General features: G+C 47.8%; 1 protein-coding gene and 1 long non-coding RNA gene across 2 annotated transcripts in view, besides 1 other annotated feature; one reads left to right on the forward strand and one right to left on the reverse strand.

The window, feature by feature from the left end:
- KCNJ6 (potassium inwardly rectifying channel subfamily J member 6) overlaps positions 1–17,194 on the reverse strand; it is a 309,085-nt gene that overhangs the window by 136,081 nt on the left and 155,810 nt on the right. The window lies entirely within an intron of this gene.
- LOC101928368 (uncharacterized) lies at positions 8,084–17,059 on the forward strand. Its single transcript, XR_244309.5, has 4 exons — positions 8,084–8,163; positions 11,117–11,247; positions 14,693–14,749; positions 15,853–17,059. It is a non-coding gene; the product is annotated as an uncharacterized LOC101928368 (long non-coding RNA).
- Positions 11,901–12,748: an enhancer, noted in NCBI's record as "H3K27ac-H3K4me1 hESC enhancer chr21:39127657-39128504 (GRCh37/hg19 assembly coordinates)". NCBI's record gives its function as "activates a minimal SCP1, AML or CMV promoter by ChIP-STARR-seq in naive H9 embryonic stem cells {active_cell/tissue: H9 hESC(naive)}" and the evidence as "EXISTENCE:reporter gene assay evidence [ECO:0000049][PMID:30033119]".

Raw genomic sequence — 17,194 nt, forward strand, 5'->3', positions numbered from 1 at the left:
CACTGTGATGGTACTAAGAGGTGGAACATTTAAGAGGTGATTAGGCCACGAGGGCTCCCCCCTCACGGATGGATTAATGCTGCTATTGAGAGAGTGGGCTCCTCATAAGAGAATGAGTTTGGCCCCTCTCTTACTTTCTTCCCTCTCACCCTCTCTTACCCTTCCACCTTCTGTCATGAAATGATGCAGCAAGAAGGCCCTCTCCAGATGCTAGCCCCTCCATCTTAGACTTGCAGCCTCCAGAATTGTGAGAAATAAATTTCTGTTCATTATAAATTACCCAATATGCGGTATTCTGTTACAGAAGCTAAAAAAACAAAGACTATGACAGTACTAGACAGAGATACAAACACCTACTTTCCATGGGGAAACCACTTACACCATTAAAAAAACCCCTCAGCGATTACTTTTTAATATGGTCAATAATACTTCTACACACTTTGCCTCCATTATCATACCTCCTATTTATAATCCCACGAAGATTTTTGTGGGGAGTGAAATGTTATATTCATGAAAATGCTTTGAACTTTTTGGAGAAAAATTCACTCTTCCCCAAATCAGTAAGGGAGCCACACTACTCTATCAATAATGGATAGTATATCGCAAGGACAAAAAACCAAACACCGCATGTTCTCACTCATAGGTGGGAATTGAACAATGAGAACACATGGACACAGGAAGAGGAACATCACACACCGGGGACTGTTGTGGGGTGGGGGGAGGGGGGAGGGATAGCATTAGGAGATATACCTAATGCTAAATGACGAGTTAATGGGTGCAGCACACCAACATGGCACATGTATACATATGTAACAAACCTGCACATTGTGCACATGTACCCTAAAACTTAAAGTATAATAATAATAAAATAAAAAAAATGGATAGTATAGGTGTCTATTTTTCCAGATGAGATAAGCTGAGAGGTGACTGGGAAGGAATGCACATGATTTGGAATGCCCTGGAAACAGAAAGAATGAGAGGTCCAGACAGAGAAAAGCTCAGGTTAGGAACGGGTCTCCTCTGGGATTTCCAACCCACCAAGCCATGTCCTCTTGGGAGGAGGAGAAAAGGGCAACAAAACTGGCAGAATCCTTATTCCACAGCCTGTCCCCAAACACCATCTTTCACTGATGGTAATAATTCAAGTAAGAGAAGTGGAGATTAAGTAGTTGCTGAACTAAGGATCAGAGAGCAATAACTGAAGCTTGGCAGGCCTGGTAATTTATCTCCTATGCAATGTTTTTCAGATGTTCCTGAGATATTCAAGTCTAGAGACCAGGCTTATTTGGAGTATGTGTCATAGGGAAGGCAACAGTGGGGGGTGTGTAAGGATTTCACTGAGTTGCAGGAATCACAAATTAGGATGGAGGTTATTTTCAAACCTCTTTATATGGCATATAGTAGGCAGAATAATGGCCCCAACGAGGCCCACATCCTGATCCCGGGAACTGTGGATATGCATGTTACATGTCAAGGAGAAATTATACTTCCAGATGGAATGGAGGTTGTCAGTCAGCTGGAAGATTATCCTAGGTCCTGAAAAGTGGAAGAGGGAGACAGCAGAAGAGAGGGAACCAGGGAGATAGTAGCATAAGAAGGACTTAGCCCAACGTTGCTGGTTTTTTTTTTTTTTTTTTTTTTTTTTTTTTTTTTTTTTGACAGACAGGGTCTTGCTGTGGCCCAGGCTAGAGTTTGGTGGTGCAATTAGGGCTCACGGCAGCCCCTTGACCTCCCAGGCTCAAGTGATACTCCTGCCTCAGCCTTCTGAGTAGCTGGGACCACAGGTGTGCACCACCATAGTCAGCTAGTTTTGTTATGTATTATTTATTTATTTATTTCTATATTTATTGCAGAGATGAGGTATTACTCTGTTGCCCAGGCTGGTCTCAGACTCCTCAGTGCAAGTGAATCCTCCTCCCTTGGCCTCCCCAAATGCTGGGATTACAGAGGTGAGACATCATGCCTGGCCATGGTTGCTGGTTTTGAAGATGTGGGAAGGGGACCATGAGCCAAGGAGTGCAGGTGGCCTGTAGAATCTGGGAAAGGAAAGGAAGTGGATTCCCCCAGAGCTTCCAGAAAGGAACACAGCCCTGATGACACCTTGGCTTTAGCCCAGTGAGACTCCTGTTGGACTTCTGACCTCTAGGATCTTAAGTCAATGCATTTGTGATATTAGTCCAATCAATTTTCAGTAATTTGTTACGGCAGCAAAGGTAAACAAAACAGGAGTAGGCAGATTCCCGTTCAATTCAATTTATACACACTGAACACCTGCTATGTGCCAGATCCTGTGCTAAGAGCTGGGTACAGGGGTGAATAAAGATGCAGCCCCTGCCCTCAAGTCTCACAGCCTTGAAGAAAACACAGGAGCACACACGTCCCACTAGGGCAGCGGAGGCAATTCCAGGATCACGGTGTGTTCGCTGGGGCAGCCGTGACAAAGTACCACCAACTGGTGGCTTAAATAACAAACTTTTGTTTCTCACAGTTCTGAAGGCTGGGAAACCCAAGCTCAAGGTGCCGGCCGGTTCTGTTCCTAATGAGGGCTCTCTTCCTGGCTTGCAGGAGGCCACCTATTCACGCCCACATGGCAGACAGCAAACTCTATCTGTGATCTCTCTTATAAGGGTGCTGACTCCATCCTGAGGGCCCTACCCTTAGGATCCAATTACCTCTCAAAGTCCCCAACTCCCAAATGCCATCACATGGTGGATTAGGATGTCAACATATGAATTTATGGGGAACATAACTCAGTCCATAGCAGATGGGAATGGGGAGATGGTGGACTAACTGTCTTGGGTGAGGTGGGAGCGGGTTAAGGAAAGCAGGAGTGGCAGTCCTTAGGTAGCAAATCAAAGGCCCAGGGATAATCCAGATCTGGGGAACAGAGTAACAAATCATGAGGTTGCAAGAGAGCCCACTTCCTTCATTCTTCCAGCTGTCTGGTGATCTGGGGTTGCTTTGGGCCTATCTCTGAGGCAGAGGGGAAGGGAGGTGAGGGTGTTTACTGAGTGTGCTCTGTATACAATTCAGTCTTCTCCAAAAGGCTGTGAACAAATGTCGTTTTTATCACCATTGTTAAGATAGGGGAGAGGAGTTTCTGGAAAGTTCCATAACTTGCCTAGGGTGTTTGACCTCTAAAGCTGGTATTCTCCATGATACTCACTTGACTCTGAGTAATTCCCCTCTGATTAAACAGTGGAAAAGAAAAAGACAACATGACGTCTCCTGCGACCTTAAACCCAGCACTGAGACAGTGCCTGGCACATAACAAGAGCTAAAGAAATTTTTCTTGAATAAATGAATAGGTAATTTCAGATCCTTTAAGACTGACCATTTGGAATGGGAGTCTATAACTTCTACATACTCTGTAAATTGTCCTTTATCCACTCTGACTGCTCAGTGGATTTTTTCTTTTGAGCTCTAGCATTCCATCCAAATAAATCCCAAGCAAAAGTTTTAAGTGCTCCAGCTACTAGAATTGATGGCAAAGCCTTATATTCGCTGATATTTTTGCTGACTTTTGGAGCCTTGTTCATAAGGTGCAAGATCAGTGGAACACTTGAATGTGTGTGCAGAGCACTGTGTGAGCCCTGCTGGAAGCTTCCAGAAGTACAGGATGTGGTCCCAGGCCCACACATGCATGAAGAGAGGAAGGGGAATGGAGGCAGAGGAAAAGACGCCCTGCCAGGGTTCAGCAGACACAAAGACACAAGTGTAGGAAGGATGACTGAGAAATGATCTGTTTTTTCCCACCCCAAAAGGGGCAGTTGTTTTCTTTGCCCCCTTTGGAGAGGGCCAGAAGGGGATTTGTGTCTTGCCAGAAGGGATTTATGCCTTGCCTTAGAGGAGGTTCTTTAAAGGTCTTTGGTTTCCCAAAGCCTTGGCTGTGGTAGGCAAAGCACTGGATTGCTCCAAAGGGATGAAGCTTTGGGATTTTTATTAGGAAAAGCTGGCAAAGGCCTTACTAGGGAAAGGGAGGGGCCCCTAAGACCTGCAGAAGTGAGCTGGGTTTTCTGATATACAGAATCTGTGAATATGTTCCACTATACAAAGAAAAATCGAGGTTGCAGTTGGAGTTAAGGTTGCTAATCAGCTGACCTTCAACTGGGGAGATTATCCTGGATTATCCGGGAAGCCCAGTGTCATCACAAGAGTCCTTTTAAGTGGGAGAGGGAGGCAGGAGAGGGAGAACGAGAGAGATGGCAATGTGAGAAGGACTCAGCCCATGGTGCTGGCTTTGAGGGGGGAGGAGGGGGCCATGAGACAAGGATTGTGGGCGGCCTCTGGAAGATGGAAAGGCAAGGAAACAGATTCTCCCCTGGAAGGTGCAGCAGTAATGCAGTCCTGCTGAAAACAATTTTAACCCAGTGAGACCTGAGTTAGACTTCTAACCCGCAGACTTGCCAGATACATTTGTGTTGTTTAAGCCTCCAAGTTTATCGTAGTTTGTTCCAGCTGCATAAGGAAACTAACACAGGGTAATATGGGGGTGCCTGGAGACTGAGTCACAGGGCTGAGACCTTGGAGACCCAGTGATGGTCTCATGGCTTTCCTGGATATAGAGGAAATGTACCCACAGGCTTGTGACTTGTAATGTGTTGTGCAGACTTAGTCAGAAGCAAGACCAGAAACCCCTCCACACGTTTTATGGACAGTGTAAGTTTCTAGGGCCATTTATACAACCCCAGGTACGGGTGGTGTCCCTCAATAATGGTGGATACGTGAACACTTCCAACCCTGGACAGCAGGTGCTCAGAGCCAGTTTAATTGGATCTAGGAAAATTAAGGGTTGTGATGTATCTTGCACCTGAGGGTGGTGAGCAGATTCACAGCTGCTCTGCTCATCAAGATTTTTCTAAAAGAATATGTTAATTGCCGCAGAACTGCACTTGTCAGAGCAAGCTCATAAAAGAGATGAGTTTTCAGTTGTGTTTGGAACAGGGTAGGAGTGGGTGGGTGAGGACTGGGATCCATGGTTCGTGGATGGGAGGAGAGAAGAGTTCAGAAATGGATGTTAGGAATCCATCTCTAGAAGTCTTAACAGTGTTTTCCATTGACTCAGAGCTTGGTTTTGTGGTAGTGGGAATGTGGCAATATGAAGGATTCTGGTGATAGGAAGTGGAAGACTTCATAAGCAAAAGCCCCAGTCTTAGTGGAACGCTTCAAAGCCACAGGTTCTTCCAGTAACTGCCTGGGTCTTCCGCTTCTCCCCTTGGCTCTAAATTCCCAACAGGCTTTGTGGAGGTTTGACAGCTGCTCCAGGAGCTTGCAATTTACTTTTTGTTCACTTTATGCAAATTCATACTTGGCTTTGTAGCACAAAGGACAAACCTAGTGGGGTCTGAGTTGCCCTACGGAGGTTTTATCCCCGCAAAACTCGGGAGCCCAGGAAGCTGCAATGACAAGGGAAGAGTCCAGGAACAAAACCGTGGGAGAGACCTACATATGAGGCATTCCAGAGTGGTCTTTGCACTGTGCTGTCTTAATAGGTATAGAGCTATCAACCTGGAGTAGGCAGTAGATATTTAACGCTCACATTTCATCTAGATGTATATGTGTATGCATGTGTGTATGTATCTGTGTACAATGTGCATATTTATATATAATAAACACACCTATGCATGCACACTTTTTGATGGGAGACACTAATTTTAGGCAGTATAGGTCAATTTCTAACTTCTGAGCTGGGGCATGGGGTCATTTTCAGGTGACAGGTGGGGTAACAGCCACAGGTATGCAAACTTCCTTCTAGCTGGTCTCGAGGGCATCTTTGCTCAGAGGGGGCAGAAGGAAGTAGCACTGGCATCACTTCGAGGAAGCCGGGTGTTTGCCCGTAGCACAGCCTGAAGCAACTGTGCTTGGGACATAGGTGAGTAGAGAATAAAGTACGCGTGGGCAAGGCCAGGCAAGCACCAGCACAGCCTGAAGACACACCCTCCGCTCGTGGACAGAATGGGGCACCATGCAGGGAGCCCCATAGGGACTGCTCAATGAATCCACCTGGACTGGATTTGTCACTAGATGGTGTGAGATGCAACTTGTATTGCACCCATACCTGGAGCCCGGCTGTCATTCTCTGCCATGGAGACAAAGTGCCTATGTTGTGGCTGTCCCAGACCCTTTCCAAGAGGATTTAGACTGCAGTGTAAAGGGGGCTTCATGTTGAGGCACATTATCCATTTGTGGTTAAAAATTTTAGCAAGGAGCTAGGAAAGTTATGTTTGGGGTCATGATCCAAAGGAACTTCTACCCTATTAGCTTAAGGATTGAATCTAAAAGATATTGGAGGTTGAAAAACGGTCTCAGGAAAGTCCTCTAACTTAACACAGGGACATAATCTATTGAGGCTGAATGGAAAGAAGGACAAGGTGTTGCTTTTGGAGCCAAAGTGCCAGGGTTCAAGACATTCGTCAAAGGGCAGTAATCATACCTATGCAGCCTGCCTTGCACCGTCGCCAAGAAAGCTCCAAGCCAGTGCAAACCAACTATCTGCAAAACATCTAATGAGAGGTCAGAGCTGGGCTAAAAAGTCACAGACCTGAACCTTTATCTGCAGGATAAAACATTTGGATTAAAGGCATTTAAAAAAAAATGCTTGCTGCTTTTTTGGTAGCAGAGCATAAAGCCACATCAAAAGAAGACATTTATGCAGCCAACAAACATATGAAAAAAAGCTCATCATCACTGGTCATTAGAGAAATGCAAATCAAAACCACAATGAGATATCATCTTACACCAGTTAGAATGGCAATCATTAAAAAGTCAGGAAACAACGGATGCTGGAGAGGATGTGGAGAAACAGGAACGCTTTTACACTGTTGGTGGCAGTGTAAATTAGTTCAGCCATTGTGGAAGACAGTGTGGCGATTCCTCAAAGATCTAGAACTAGAAATACCATTTGACCCAGCAATCCCATTACTGGGTATATACCCAAAGGATTATAAATCATTCTACTATAAAGACACATGCACACACATATTTATTGCAGCACTATTCACAACAGCAAAGACTTGGAACCAACCTAAACGCCCATCAATGATAGACCGGATAAAGAAAATGTGGCAGATATACACCATGGAATACTATGCAGCCATAAAAAGGATAAGTTCATGTCCTTTGCAGGGACATGGATGAAGTTGGAAACCACCATCCTCAGCAAACTAACACAGGAACAGAAAACCAAACACCACATGTTCTCTCTCATAAGTGGGAGTTGAACAATGAGAACACATGGGGACACAGGGAGGGGAACATCACACTCCAGGGCCTGTCTAGGGTGGGGGGCTAGGGGAGGGAGAGCATTAGGAGAAATACCTAATGTAGATGACGGGTTGATGGGTGCAGCAAACCACCATGGCACATGTATACCTATGTAACAAACCTGCATGTTCTGCGCAGGTATCCCACAACTTAAAGTATAATAATAAAAAATGCAATATTATTATTAGAAGCTAAAACTTGGTAAGAATGGGAGCCTACCTGAAATTGCTATCTGGTTACACACTCAAAAAACCTTTGTTATATGTTAAGGTAAACAAAATTTACTACACAAACTACAAGGCCTCTGAAATGAGAGAATCTCAAATGTATTTGAGTTCCATGATGTCTTTTTGAATAAACCACTAAACAATGAAGTAGGGAATATTTTTGAGGGTGCTGAAGGAATGGACTGATTTTTATTTTTTTGCTTAAGCAGGGCCAAGAGAAAGCAAGAGAGGGCCACACACACAGAGAGAGAAATGCAGTAGCCTTTGCCCCTAATCTCATGAGAATCTGCTAATTTTCCAATCTCTCACTGGAATATTTTATGCCTAAAATAATTCACGATGTGGCTGTAGCATGCACTGCCCTGGACTGCTGAGCATTTTAGTAGCAAAACATGGAGAGTGTTACCTGCTGACCTGCTAAGGAGCATGGGCTCATTCCCATCCCTCTGTGTGCTAACACTGGGACCAGGGAGAGCAAACGGGAGGTGGGACGCTTATTGTTATCAGTATTATGTGCCTATTTTCACACTCATACGTAAGAGCACCCTGGGAATGAAGTGCAAGGTTCAACATTCCTGTGTTTAGAGGAATGTACTTGCTGAGGCATGAGAAGTATGAGCAGACTGCGAGGCTGTAAGAAACTCAGTTGTCCCGGGATGCTCCAACTCTGAGGGTGAGTTCCCCCTCTAAATGTGATGTTTATGGTATCACAGGAGGGTCCTGACCAAAAGTGATCCGGGCACTTTGTACTTAGTTTCTATGTATGATTGTGCCAGCTTTCACAACATTCCCACACTCTTACCAGAAGGGAGAATGATGAACTCATCACAAACCAATGTAGTGTAAGCTCCTTCACCCTATCTCGGGGTCTTTGAAGATAGAAGCTGTGCTTTCTTGATCTGTGTGTCCTCAGGCCCTAGTACGATGCCTGACATATGATAATTCCTCAATGCATTCTTGATAAGTGATTGTTTGAATGAATGAATGAAAGAGAAGGAAGACATTTCCACTGGATTAATGAAACGCTAAGTTGGAAGAGTGCATTAGGAACAGTTAAAGAATGGGCAGTGATGGAAAGCTATCTACAATGTACAGAATCTTGTTACTGTGCAGATTTGAGTCAGCCTTTGATGACTACTGATAGCTATGTCACCTAAAGAAGAGCCTTCAGGAATCTTGGATCTGTCGTTCACCCAGTGGGAGGTGGAGAAGCACTGTAGGTCAAGGCGGGCTGCTCTGTGTCCTCATGAGACCTTGGGCACCAGGGCCAGCCATGCTTTGGAGGGGTTTTCCAGGATCAGTTGCCTTGATTCAGCCCCAGTGGCCCTGCTACACTGATCACAGCTGGTTGGACCAGAGGTGGACACCTGACCAAAAAGGTAGCTGCAACAGGCTGACCAGCATCCTAGGAGGTGGTCTGACATGAAGCTCTGCCCAGTAGATTTCTATACACATGGCGGCTGGATCACCCAGTCAAACCTTCTCTCCCAGGAAGTCTGAATATGAGCTAAATAGAGAAGCCAACAGCAGCAAAAGCCGAGAGGAATACAGAGGGAAGGCATTAAGCAGAAGCTTTTAAGGAGAGGGAAAGAGAGGAGAAACAATGCAGGCAGAAAGAGGAATAGAGAGGGAGGTGCTGGGTCCCACACATGGCAGACACGCTGCCACAGGGTCACCATAATGTGACCGTGCTCATAAATCCTGGGGACAAATGAGGCTTCAGTTCCCAGGAATCCTGGCTAGGCGGCCCCAGACACATTCAAACAAATCTCATGACCCAAGGCAGCCCCTAGTTCTTCCTGCAACCCTGAGGAGCCTCATTCCCAAATTTCACTTCTTGGGTCCCAGAGCCAGGCTGGTGTGGATGACACAGAAGGAAGACCTGTGACTGTAGGATGCTGTGTGCTGTGGGAAACCAAGGGGTTCTGTAAACTGTAGGCTCTGCCCCTGCCCTGGAAGGGATTCATACTGGAGTTAGAAAAGCCAGAAAAATCCACACACAGGTGTCCAAGGTGTTATATATTAAGTAGCCAAAGTGAGAGAAAAGACAAGGGCTGCCAAGAGTAAGAAGTGAAGAGGGCAAGGTGGGCTGGGCAGGGAACACAGGGAAGGCCTCGGAGCTGGGGACTGAGTGCTGAGGGTGGGCGAGACGGCCGCATGGAAAGGTGCTTGCAGACATGTGCACAGGGTGGCAAATGCCTGCAGCGTGTGCAGCTGGGCTGAGAAAGGCAGCTCTGGTCTCTGCAAATCTGCAGGGGTTTCTGGATGCCTAGAGTGACCAGAAGCACGGATTGAACCTGTCAAACAACCCGAGTGAGTGGACAGGGCCCAGATGGTATTTCCTGACTTGGGGGCCAGCTGTGATCCTGAACGTCCCCTAGTGCCCTGGGATCAGCACATTTGAAGGCATGTCTGCGTTTCTTCCTGGGAAACACAGATCTCTGATGAAGATAGGCTATGATGTGAGAAACTTCAACCAGGCGTAAATTGCAAAGGGCAGCAGAGTGTTCTGTTCGCACATCAAGAACGTATCCCAGCCTTAGAAACAAAATAGAAACGGAGAGCTGAATCTAGAGAGCCGGACAGCAGGCTGCCTGGCAACCACCAAGGAACACGACGCTCTTAGCCTGGTTCTGCTCCTACTGTGCAAAGGGCAGTCTGGAGATAGCAGGTCAACATCCACTTGGAATCGAAAAGGTTAAAAAAGCATGCATTTGGATGGCTCTCTGTTCTCTTTTTCTTTTCATATTTGTTAGTGCCTGTTACCTGCAGATCGAGGGAACGCTGTCACTAATGTTATGTTTTATAGGCGAGCCTTTGCTGAGTAAGAGACTACACTCAAAAGAATCACCAGGACCCTCCCGATTTTCAAGGCAGGGGGCAGGTCCCAGTCCCTACACTCCTTGGTCTCTGAGACATCGGACACTATGCCTTTCATTCCCATGGGATGCTCTCATTTTCCTTGGCTAGGTCTATTACATTGAGAACAAGGCTGGGCCCTTGAGCATGTGCTGCCTGACTCTTTAGAGCACGGGGTGCCTTCCTTGTGGGGTCTGAAATCAAAGACAACATGCCTGCAGATAGTTTTCTTGAATTTTTGAAGACATCTGGGGCCTGGGCCACACATAAGATACTGCAACCAGCTAATAATTAAACCTGGATGCCACCTGCCAGCTCATTCTCCAGGTTTGGCAAATGAAACACACATTACTAGAGGAAGGACATCTTTAGGGGAAGGAAGGCCCATCTTTAGGGGAAGCTGCATCCCTGGTATCTTTAGAACAATGAGGCTTCCCCAGAAAGGAGGGCTTCTGAGACCTCAAGGAGACAAAGTACTGTGAATCTCAAGTGCCGCTTGCTTGAGCAAAATGCAACCGACTTTCTAAGAAACCATGAGATTTCTGAATAAGGAGAAAGGGCTTTTATCAGGGTTTTTCTAGCTCCATAGTTTGTTAGCAGAACACAGAGTTGGATATGATAGCTTGAAGCCTGTGGTATGAACTGATGTGTCTTTCTAGGGTTTGACACTTAGTAGACACCCCACAAATGTCACTTGGTTACAGAAATAAGTGAAGGTTTAAAATGAAAGAAGAAACGTACTGTGTCTTTATTTCCTGTGGCTCTAGCTGATCCGGGACAATGGACTGAATGCCATCATGAGCCTCAATGGACTTACCTGTAAGAAGGGTCACGTGAGATTCCAACGCTAATGAGCGTGAAAGGTTTTTGCAAACAGGAACTGCAGCACAAAGGAGAGGTAATATGTTGCTGTTGGGTGAGGTGTCCTGGCTGGGTTTGCTTTAGTCCTCACTTTCGGTACATTTCCTGCCTAAGATATTTGTGATGGTGGAAGAAAGGCCTGGATTTCTTCCTTTAAGATTAGGAGTGGCTAGTTTCCCTTTTGGGGGCTGTTCCTAGGACTTGAGGCACCGTCTCAGAGCTGAGGAGTAAGCAAGGCTAAGCCGCAGTGCAGCTGGACAGAAAGCCGGAGAGGTATTGCTGGGCTTCTGGAAGTCCCTGAAGGGTGGAGCTTCTCAATAGGTAGCAAAATGACAAACTCTAGACAACTCCAGGATGTGTTCAATGATAAAACACAGGCTCTGGAAGCTGGCCTGAGAAAGAAGTCTTAATTCCTTAAGGACCCGAGCGAGACCCAGTTCTAAATCTTAGAAAAGAAGTTTGCAAGTGTCTTAGTGGATGCAGAGTCAAGATAAACAGAATTTTCTAGCACCGTGGAAGGAACAGAAATTACAATAAAGAAGAAATAGAATCAAAAGGAACTTGGCTGACTTTTATAGCTTCTGGTTGTCTATTTCTGGGACATCTATGTTCAGTGGCAAAATGAAAAAAGAAAAAAAAAGAAAAAAACAACTACACAAACACACATGCAAAAGCTTTCAAAGAAGGCAAGAAAAAGCTATGCCCCTGGGATAGAAGGCTCTTTCCTGAGACTTTCTTTGTTATCCTAAGTCCTGCAAATCTTCAAATGTTACCTGAGAGTGTTTCATCTGGAATTCAAAGTCAAAACCAAAACAAAACTAAAACCCAAAAAGAAAGGCAGGAGAGAACAGCTAGTCTTGAAAATAGGCAGACTAGTTGAGGGAAACAAATCTGTGTGTGCTTTGCCATGAGGGGCAACTGAAGGAAGAGAGGAGCCTGGATTATCCATGATTTAAGTATTTGTAATTGAGGGAACAGAAAAGGTGTCCTCTCTCTGTGTTTAGCCAGCAAGGGAGCATGGCTGAGTTGCCTTGAGCTCCTGACCCTATCATGAGAAGCCATGAAGGGGTGAGGTGGGTGCTACCATGGGCCAGCCTCCGGGTGAGAAGGATGGATACGAGGGTGCGGTACAGGCAGCAGGAGCTGTGCCAAGCAGAGTGGAGGCTGCCCCTTTCCCCAAGCACATCTCACACTGCACCTTGGCCTTTGGTGGAGCCACTGACTTCTGGAGAGCCCCATGCTGTGTGAGTGCTAAATGCGGAATGCAGGCACTTTGTGAAGTCTTTATTCGGTGGCTCGAAATGCTCAGAGCTTGAGAAGAAAAATCAACACCAAATGGGTTAGCTTCCTCTAGATGCTTTTGGATGAAAGCTCTTCCAGGTTCTGTGGATGGATGGACGCTGACACAGCACCCTCGTTTGTAAAGCAGGGCTGGTGGCATCCACTTGGAGGCTGGCACAAGGGTTGTGTGGGATTTCCCTGCCCGCCAAGCTCCTAGCCCTTGATTCAGTGTCTGTGGCTCCTTTAGGACCTGTGCTGGACCTTCATTAAAAACCAACAAAAGTAGGAAAACTGATGCAAATAAAAGAAATAATACCACAGATGACCATTCATTCCATGTCAGAAACAAATGCCTGGATATTCCTTTATGATAAACCTGGAGAGCAGGAACCACCCATTGAAGACAGTGTGGGCCACAGACCCCACGGTCAGAGAATGGGTGGTGGGAGCAGGGCTGGCGTGGGGGCCTGGGAGAAGGCAGGGGACGTGCGTGGAAACAGAGGCGCAGTCTGGGTGAGGGGTCCAACCCTTAGGCAGCACTGACATCTCCCCGCTATGCTGGTCTCCACCCTGGCCCCAGCATTCACACTGCATTCCTGCTTTGCAACTGTGAACCCTGTGAAGCACCGAGTGGAGTGTCCAGCCTGGAGTGAGCACTCCCTCACAGTGTGATGATTCCAGCCCAGAGTGAGCACTCCCTCACAGCGTGATGATTCCAGCCTGGAGTGAGCACTCCCTCACAGCGTGATGATTCCAGCCTGGAGTGAGCACTCCCTCACAGATTCAAGCCCGGAGTGAGCACTCCCTCACAGCATGATGGTTCCAGCCCAAGTGAGCACTCCCTCACAGATTCCAGCCCGGAGTGAGCACTCCCTCACAGTGTGATGATTCCAGCCCAGAGTGAGCACTCTCTCACAGTGTGATGATTCCAGCCCGGAGTGAGCACTCCCTCACAGCGTGATGATTCCAGCCTGGAGTGAGCACTCCCTCACAGATTCCAGCCCAGAGTGAGCACTCCCTCACAGCATGATGGTTCCAGCCCAAGTGAGCACTCCCTCAAAGATTCGAGCCTGGAGTGAGCACTCCCTCATAGTGTGATGAGTCCAGCCCAGAGTGAGCACTCTCTCACAGTGTGATGATTCCAGCCCGGAGTGAGCACTCCCTCACAGCGTGATGATTCCAGCCTGGAGTGAGCACTCCCTCACAGAATCCAGCTTGGAGTGAGCACTCCCTCACAGTGTGATGGTACCAGCCTTGGTGAGCTGTCTCTCACAGTGTGATGATTCCAGCCTGGAGTGAGCACTCCCTCACAGTGTGATGATTCCAGCCTGGAGTGAGCACTCCCTCACAGCTATGATGTTTCCAGCCTAAGTGAGCACTCCTTCACTGATTCCAGCCCGGAGTGAGCACTCCCTCACAGTGTGATGATTCCAGCCTGGAGTGTGCTCTCCCTCACAGTGTGATGATTCCAGCCCAGAGTGAGCACTCTCTCACAGTGTGATGATTCCAGCCCGGAGTGAGCTCTCCCTCACAGCGTGATGATTCCAGCCTGGAGTGAGCACTCCCTCACAGTGTGATGATTCCAGCCTGGAGTGAGCACTCCCTCACAGCATGATGGTTCCAGCCCAAGTGAGCACTCCCTCACAGATTCCAGCCCGGAGTGAGCACTCCCTCACAGTGTGATGATTCCAGCCCGGAGTGAGCTCTCCCTCACAGATTCCAGCCTGGAGAGAGTACTCCCTCACAGCATGATGGTTCCAGCCCGGAGTGAGCACTCCCTCACAGTGTGCTGATCTCATTTGTTGCCAAAGCAATCATTCCCTATTACGGAGAAGAGAACACCATTTTGACTTGCATGAGGCCACACGCCTAGTCACTGGCTGGCTCGAGCCCAGGTTCTGACTTGAAATCCAATTCCCACAAAATGCTTTCCTTAGCAAATGATTCCTAATTAATACAACAACAGAAAGGCCTCACAATGTCAAATCTTAGAATGAGATCAGGTTTCCAGCAGGTGTCCCTGCATTCACCCACCTCCTGCGAATGGCTTCCTGGCATTAGGTTTCAGGGTGTCACTGGGTGGGTTGAGGGTGTGGGGATGGTGAGGGAGGAGACCCTGGGCCTGGTTTAGTGGAGGGGGAGAGGCTTCACCTAATTTTCAGGGGTCCAGCTCCAGTTGACTTTCCTCTTTGTGCTCCTAGGCATGAATCCTTGAGCGATTAAGACAGTGGGAGTGACGGGGCAGAGTCACCACGGAGGTGGGTGTCTGCAGATGTCTGTGAGGCTGATGGTGTGTGGGTTCTCTAGGGTCCTGTAACTTTATTATCTTTAGACTCAAAAGGTGTTCTGGGATCATCGTATTTGCATTGGTGGGAGTGTGTGTAGAATAATAGCAGTTATTTTGGGAGAAGTTACCCTGCGCCAGGTGCTGTAAATATCACCTCCTCCTTCCATTCTTAAGATGGGAGTATCCACAGTGGTAAGCTGGTAAACCAAGTGTCCAGAAAAATTAATCCCTCATTTGTAGTGTTTGCTGATTGCCATGATGTGAATTGCTTTTACCACTGCGGATTTCAAGATTATCGACCATTCACAGGATTCCTGAATATCTACCCGTCAACTCTTATGAGCCAGAGGAACTGGCTCTAGTACAAATAAGCCAAGTAAGGGATTGTACAGACATAGGAGTAAGCAATAGAGATTTTTTTTTTGAGACAGGGTCTGGCTATGTTGCCCAGGCTGCAGTGCAGTGGTGCCGTGATAGCTCACTGCAACCTTGACCCTCTTGGGATTAAGTGATCCTCCTGCCTCAGCCTCCCAGGACCACAGGTACATGCCACCATGCCTGCCTACTTTTTTGTTTTTTTGTAGAGATGAGAGCTTGCTGTGTTTCCCAGGCTGGTCTTGAACTCCTGAGCTCCAGTGATCCTCCTGCCTTGGCCTCCCAAAGTGCTGGGATTACAGGTGTGCGCCACCGTGCCTTCCCGGCCTTAGATATTTTACAGGCGAGGAAACTGAGGATTAGAGATCACATGGCTCAGCCCTGCTCACATGGGTTGCAAGAGTTGCCCTCAGTCTGACCCCCAAGGCCATTGCTTTTAAGTCCTCCTCTTGACAGCCTCCTGGCCCCTATCTGAGGCTCAGCTGAGTGGTGACTGTTCCATGTTTGAGGCTGGGGAGGAGATCAGCTCGCAGTTCAGCTTCCTGTCCCCCAGGTGGCAGGGGCGGTCCTGGCTGGGAAGGCTAATTTGTCCGGGCTGCATCTCTGTCCTACTCTCGCCAGCTCTGCCACAGGGCCTCTGTCTTTCCCTTGCGCTTTGAGGTTTCTCTGGGTGCCTCACCCTCCTCTTCTTGTTCCCAGACACACCACTGTGAAATGAATGGCGGGACTGCACTGAACGGCAGAATGTTTGAGGGCTTGGTCATACAGCTGGAGGGAAGAGTGAGACCAGGAAGAGCTGAAACGCGGCCTCTCCATCCCTGTTACAGCAGCACCTTTCTCACTGGGCTGCAGGCACCCTGACCGCAAAGGTGTTCTCACAACCCCGCAGGGTCTTGCTCCTCCCTGTGCCGCCAAGCTTGCCACTCCATCTGCCTGGCACGCTCATCCCCGCCATCCCCATCACTGGCTTCCCATTGTCCCCTGGGTCTTGTCCTTGAGGAAGCCTCACAAGTCATCCTGTCTAAGTAGCACTGTTGGTCTTCTCCATAGAACCTTCTCTTCCTTTCCTGGCATCTATATCATCCTGGAACCATTTTATCTGCGTGTTCACCTGTCCAACCACACTGCGATGGTTTTAAAATATGTTCTTAATTCTTAGACACTCCTTCCTTCCAAAGGCAGAGTGTCATTCCTCTCCTTTTGAGTGTGGGCTGGACTTAGTGATCCCGTTCTGCAGATGAGAACATGGCAGAAGAGGTGCTGTTAGGACTTCTGGGCTGGGTCACGAAAGGACAGCTGCTGGCTGGCCTGCTGTCTTTTGGACTGCTCTCCCCAGGGGCAGCCAGATGCTACATCGTGATGACACTCAAGCAGTCCTACCCAGAGGCCCATGTCAGAAGGAACGAATGCCTCTCACCCACAGGCAGCACCAACTCGCCAGCCACGGCTACGAGCTGCTTTAGAAGTTGACTCAGCCCAGTCGAGCCTTCAGATAACTGCAGACCCAGCCAACATCAGATGGAACCTACAAGAGAATAAGTCCTGGTCCCGACCTGCCCAGCCAAGCTGGTCCTGAATTCCTGACCCACAGAAGCTGCAAGAATAATGTCTCCTGCTACTTTAAGCCACTATGTTTTGGCATATTAGGTAGCAATGGAGGATTAATATAAATGTTGAAATGCTATGATTCCTCATTTCATGGACAAGGAAACTGAGCCACAGAGAATTTACACGGCTCACCTAAGGCCACACAGAGTCAGAATTTGGACAGAGGCAGTCTGATTCCAGAGTCCACACCCCTGAGCCCTGTACTACAACCTCCCTCCAAACAAGGCACCATCTCAAACAGTGTCATTTTTCCTGTGAAGCCCCGATTAGGTGGTGGGCAGGCACAGGATCTTTCCCTCCCCAGACAGATGTAAGTCCAACAGCGTGAGGCTTCTGACAGCTTGGTGCTCCACACAGGGCAGGGGTGCAGAGTCCTGCCTGACCACCAGCCATCCAGCTGTCACGAGCCAGTACCCTTGCTCCTGGGTCTGAC

This window comes from Homo sapiens, chromosome 21, assembly GCF_000001405.40.
Source record: "Homo sapiens chromosome 21, GRCh38.p14 Primary Assembly".
Lineage (NCBI taxonomy): Eukaryota > Metazoa > Chordata > Mammalia > Primates > Hominidae > Homo > Homo sapiens.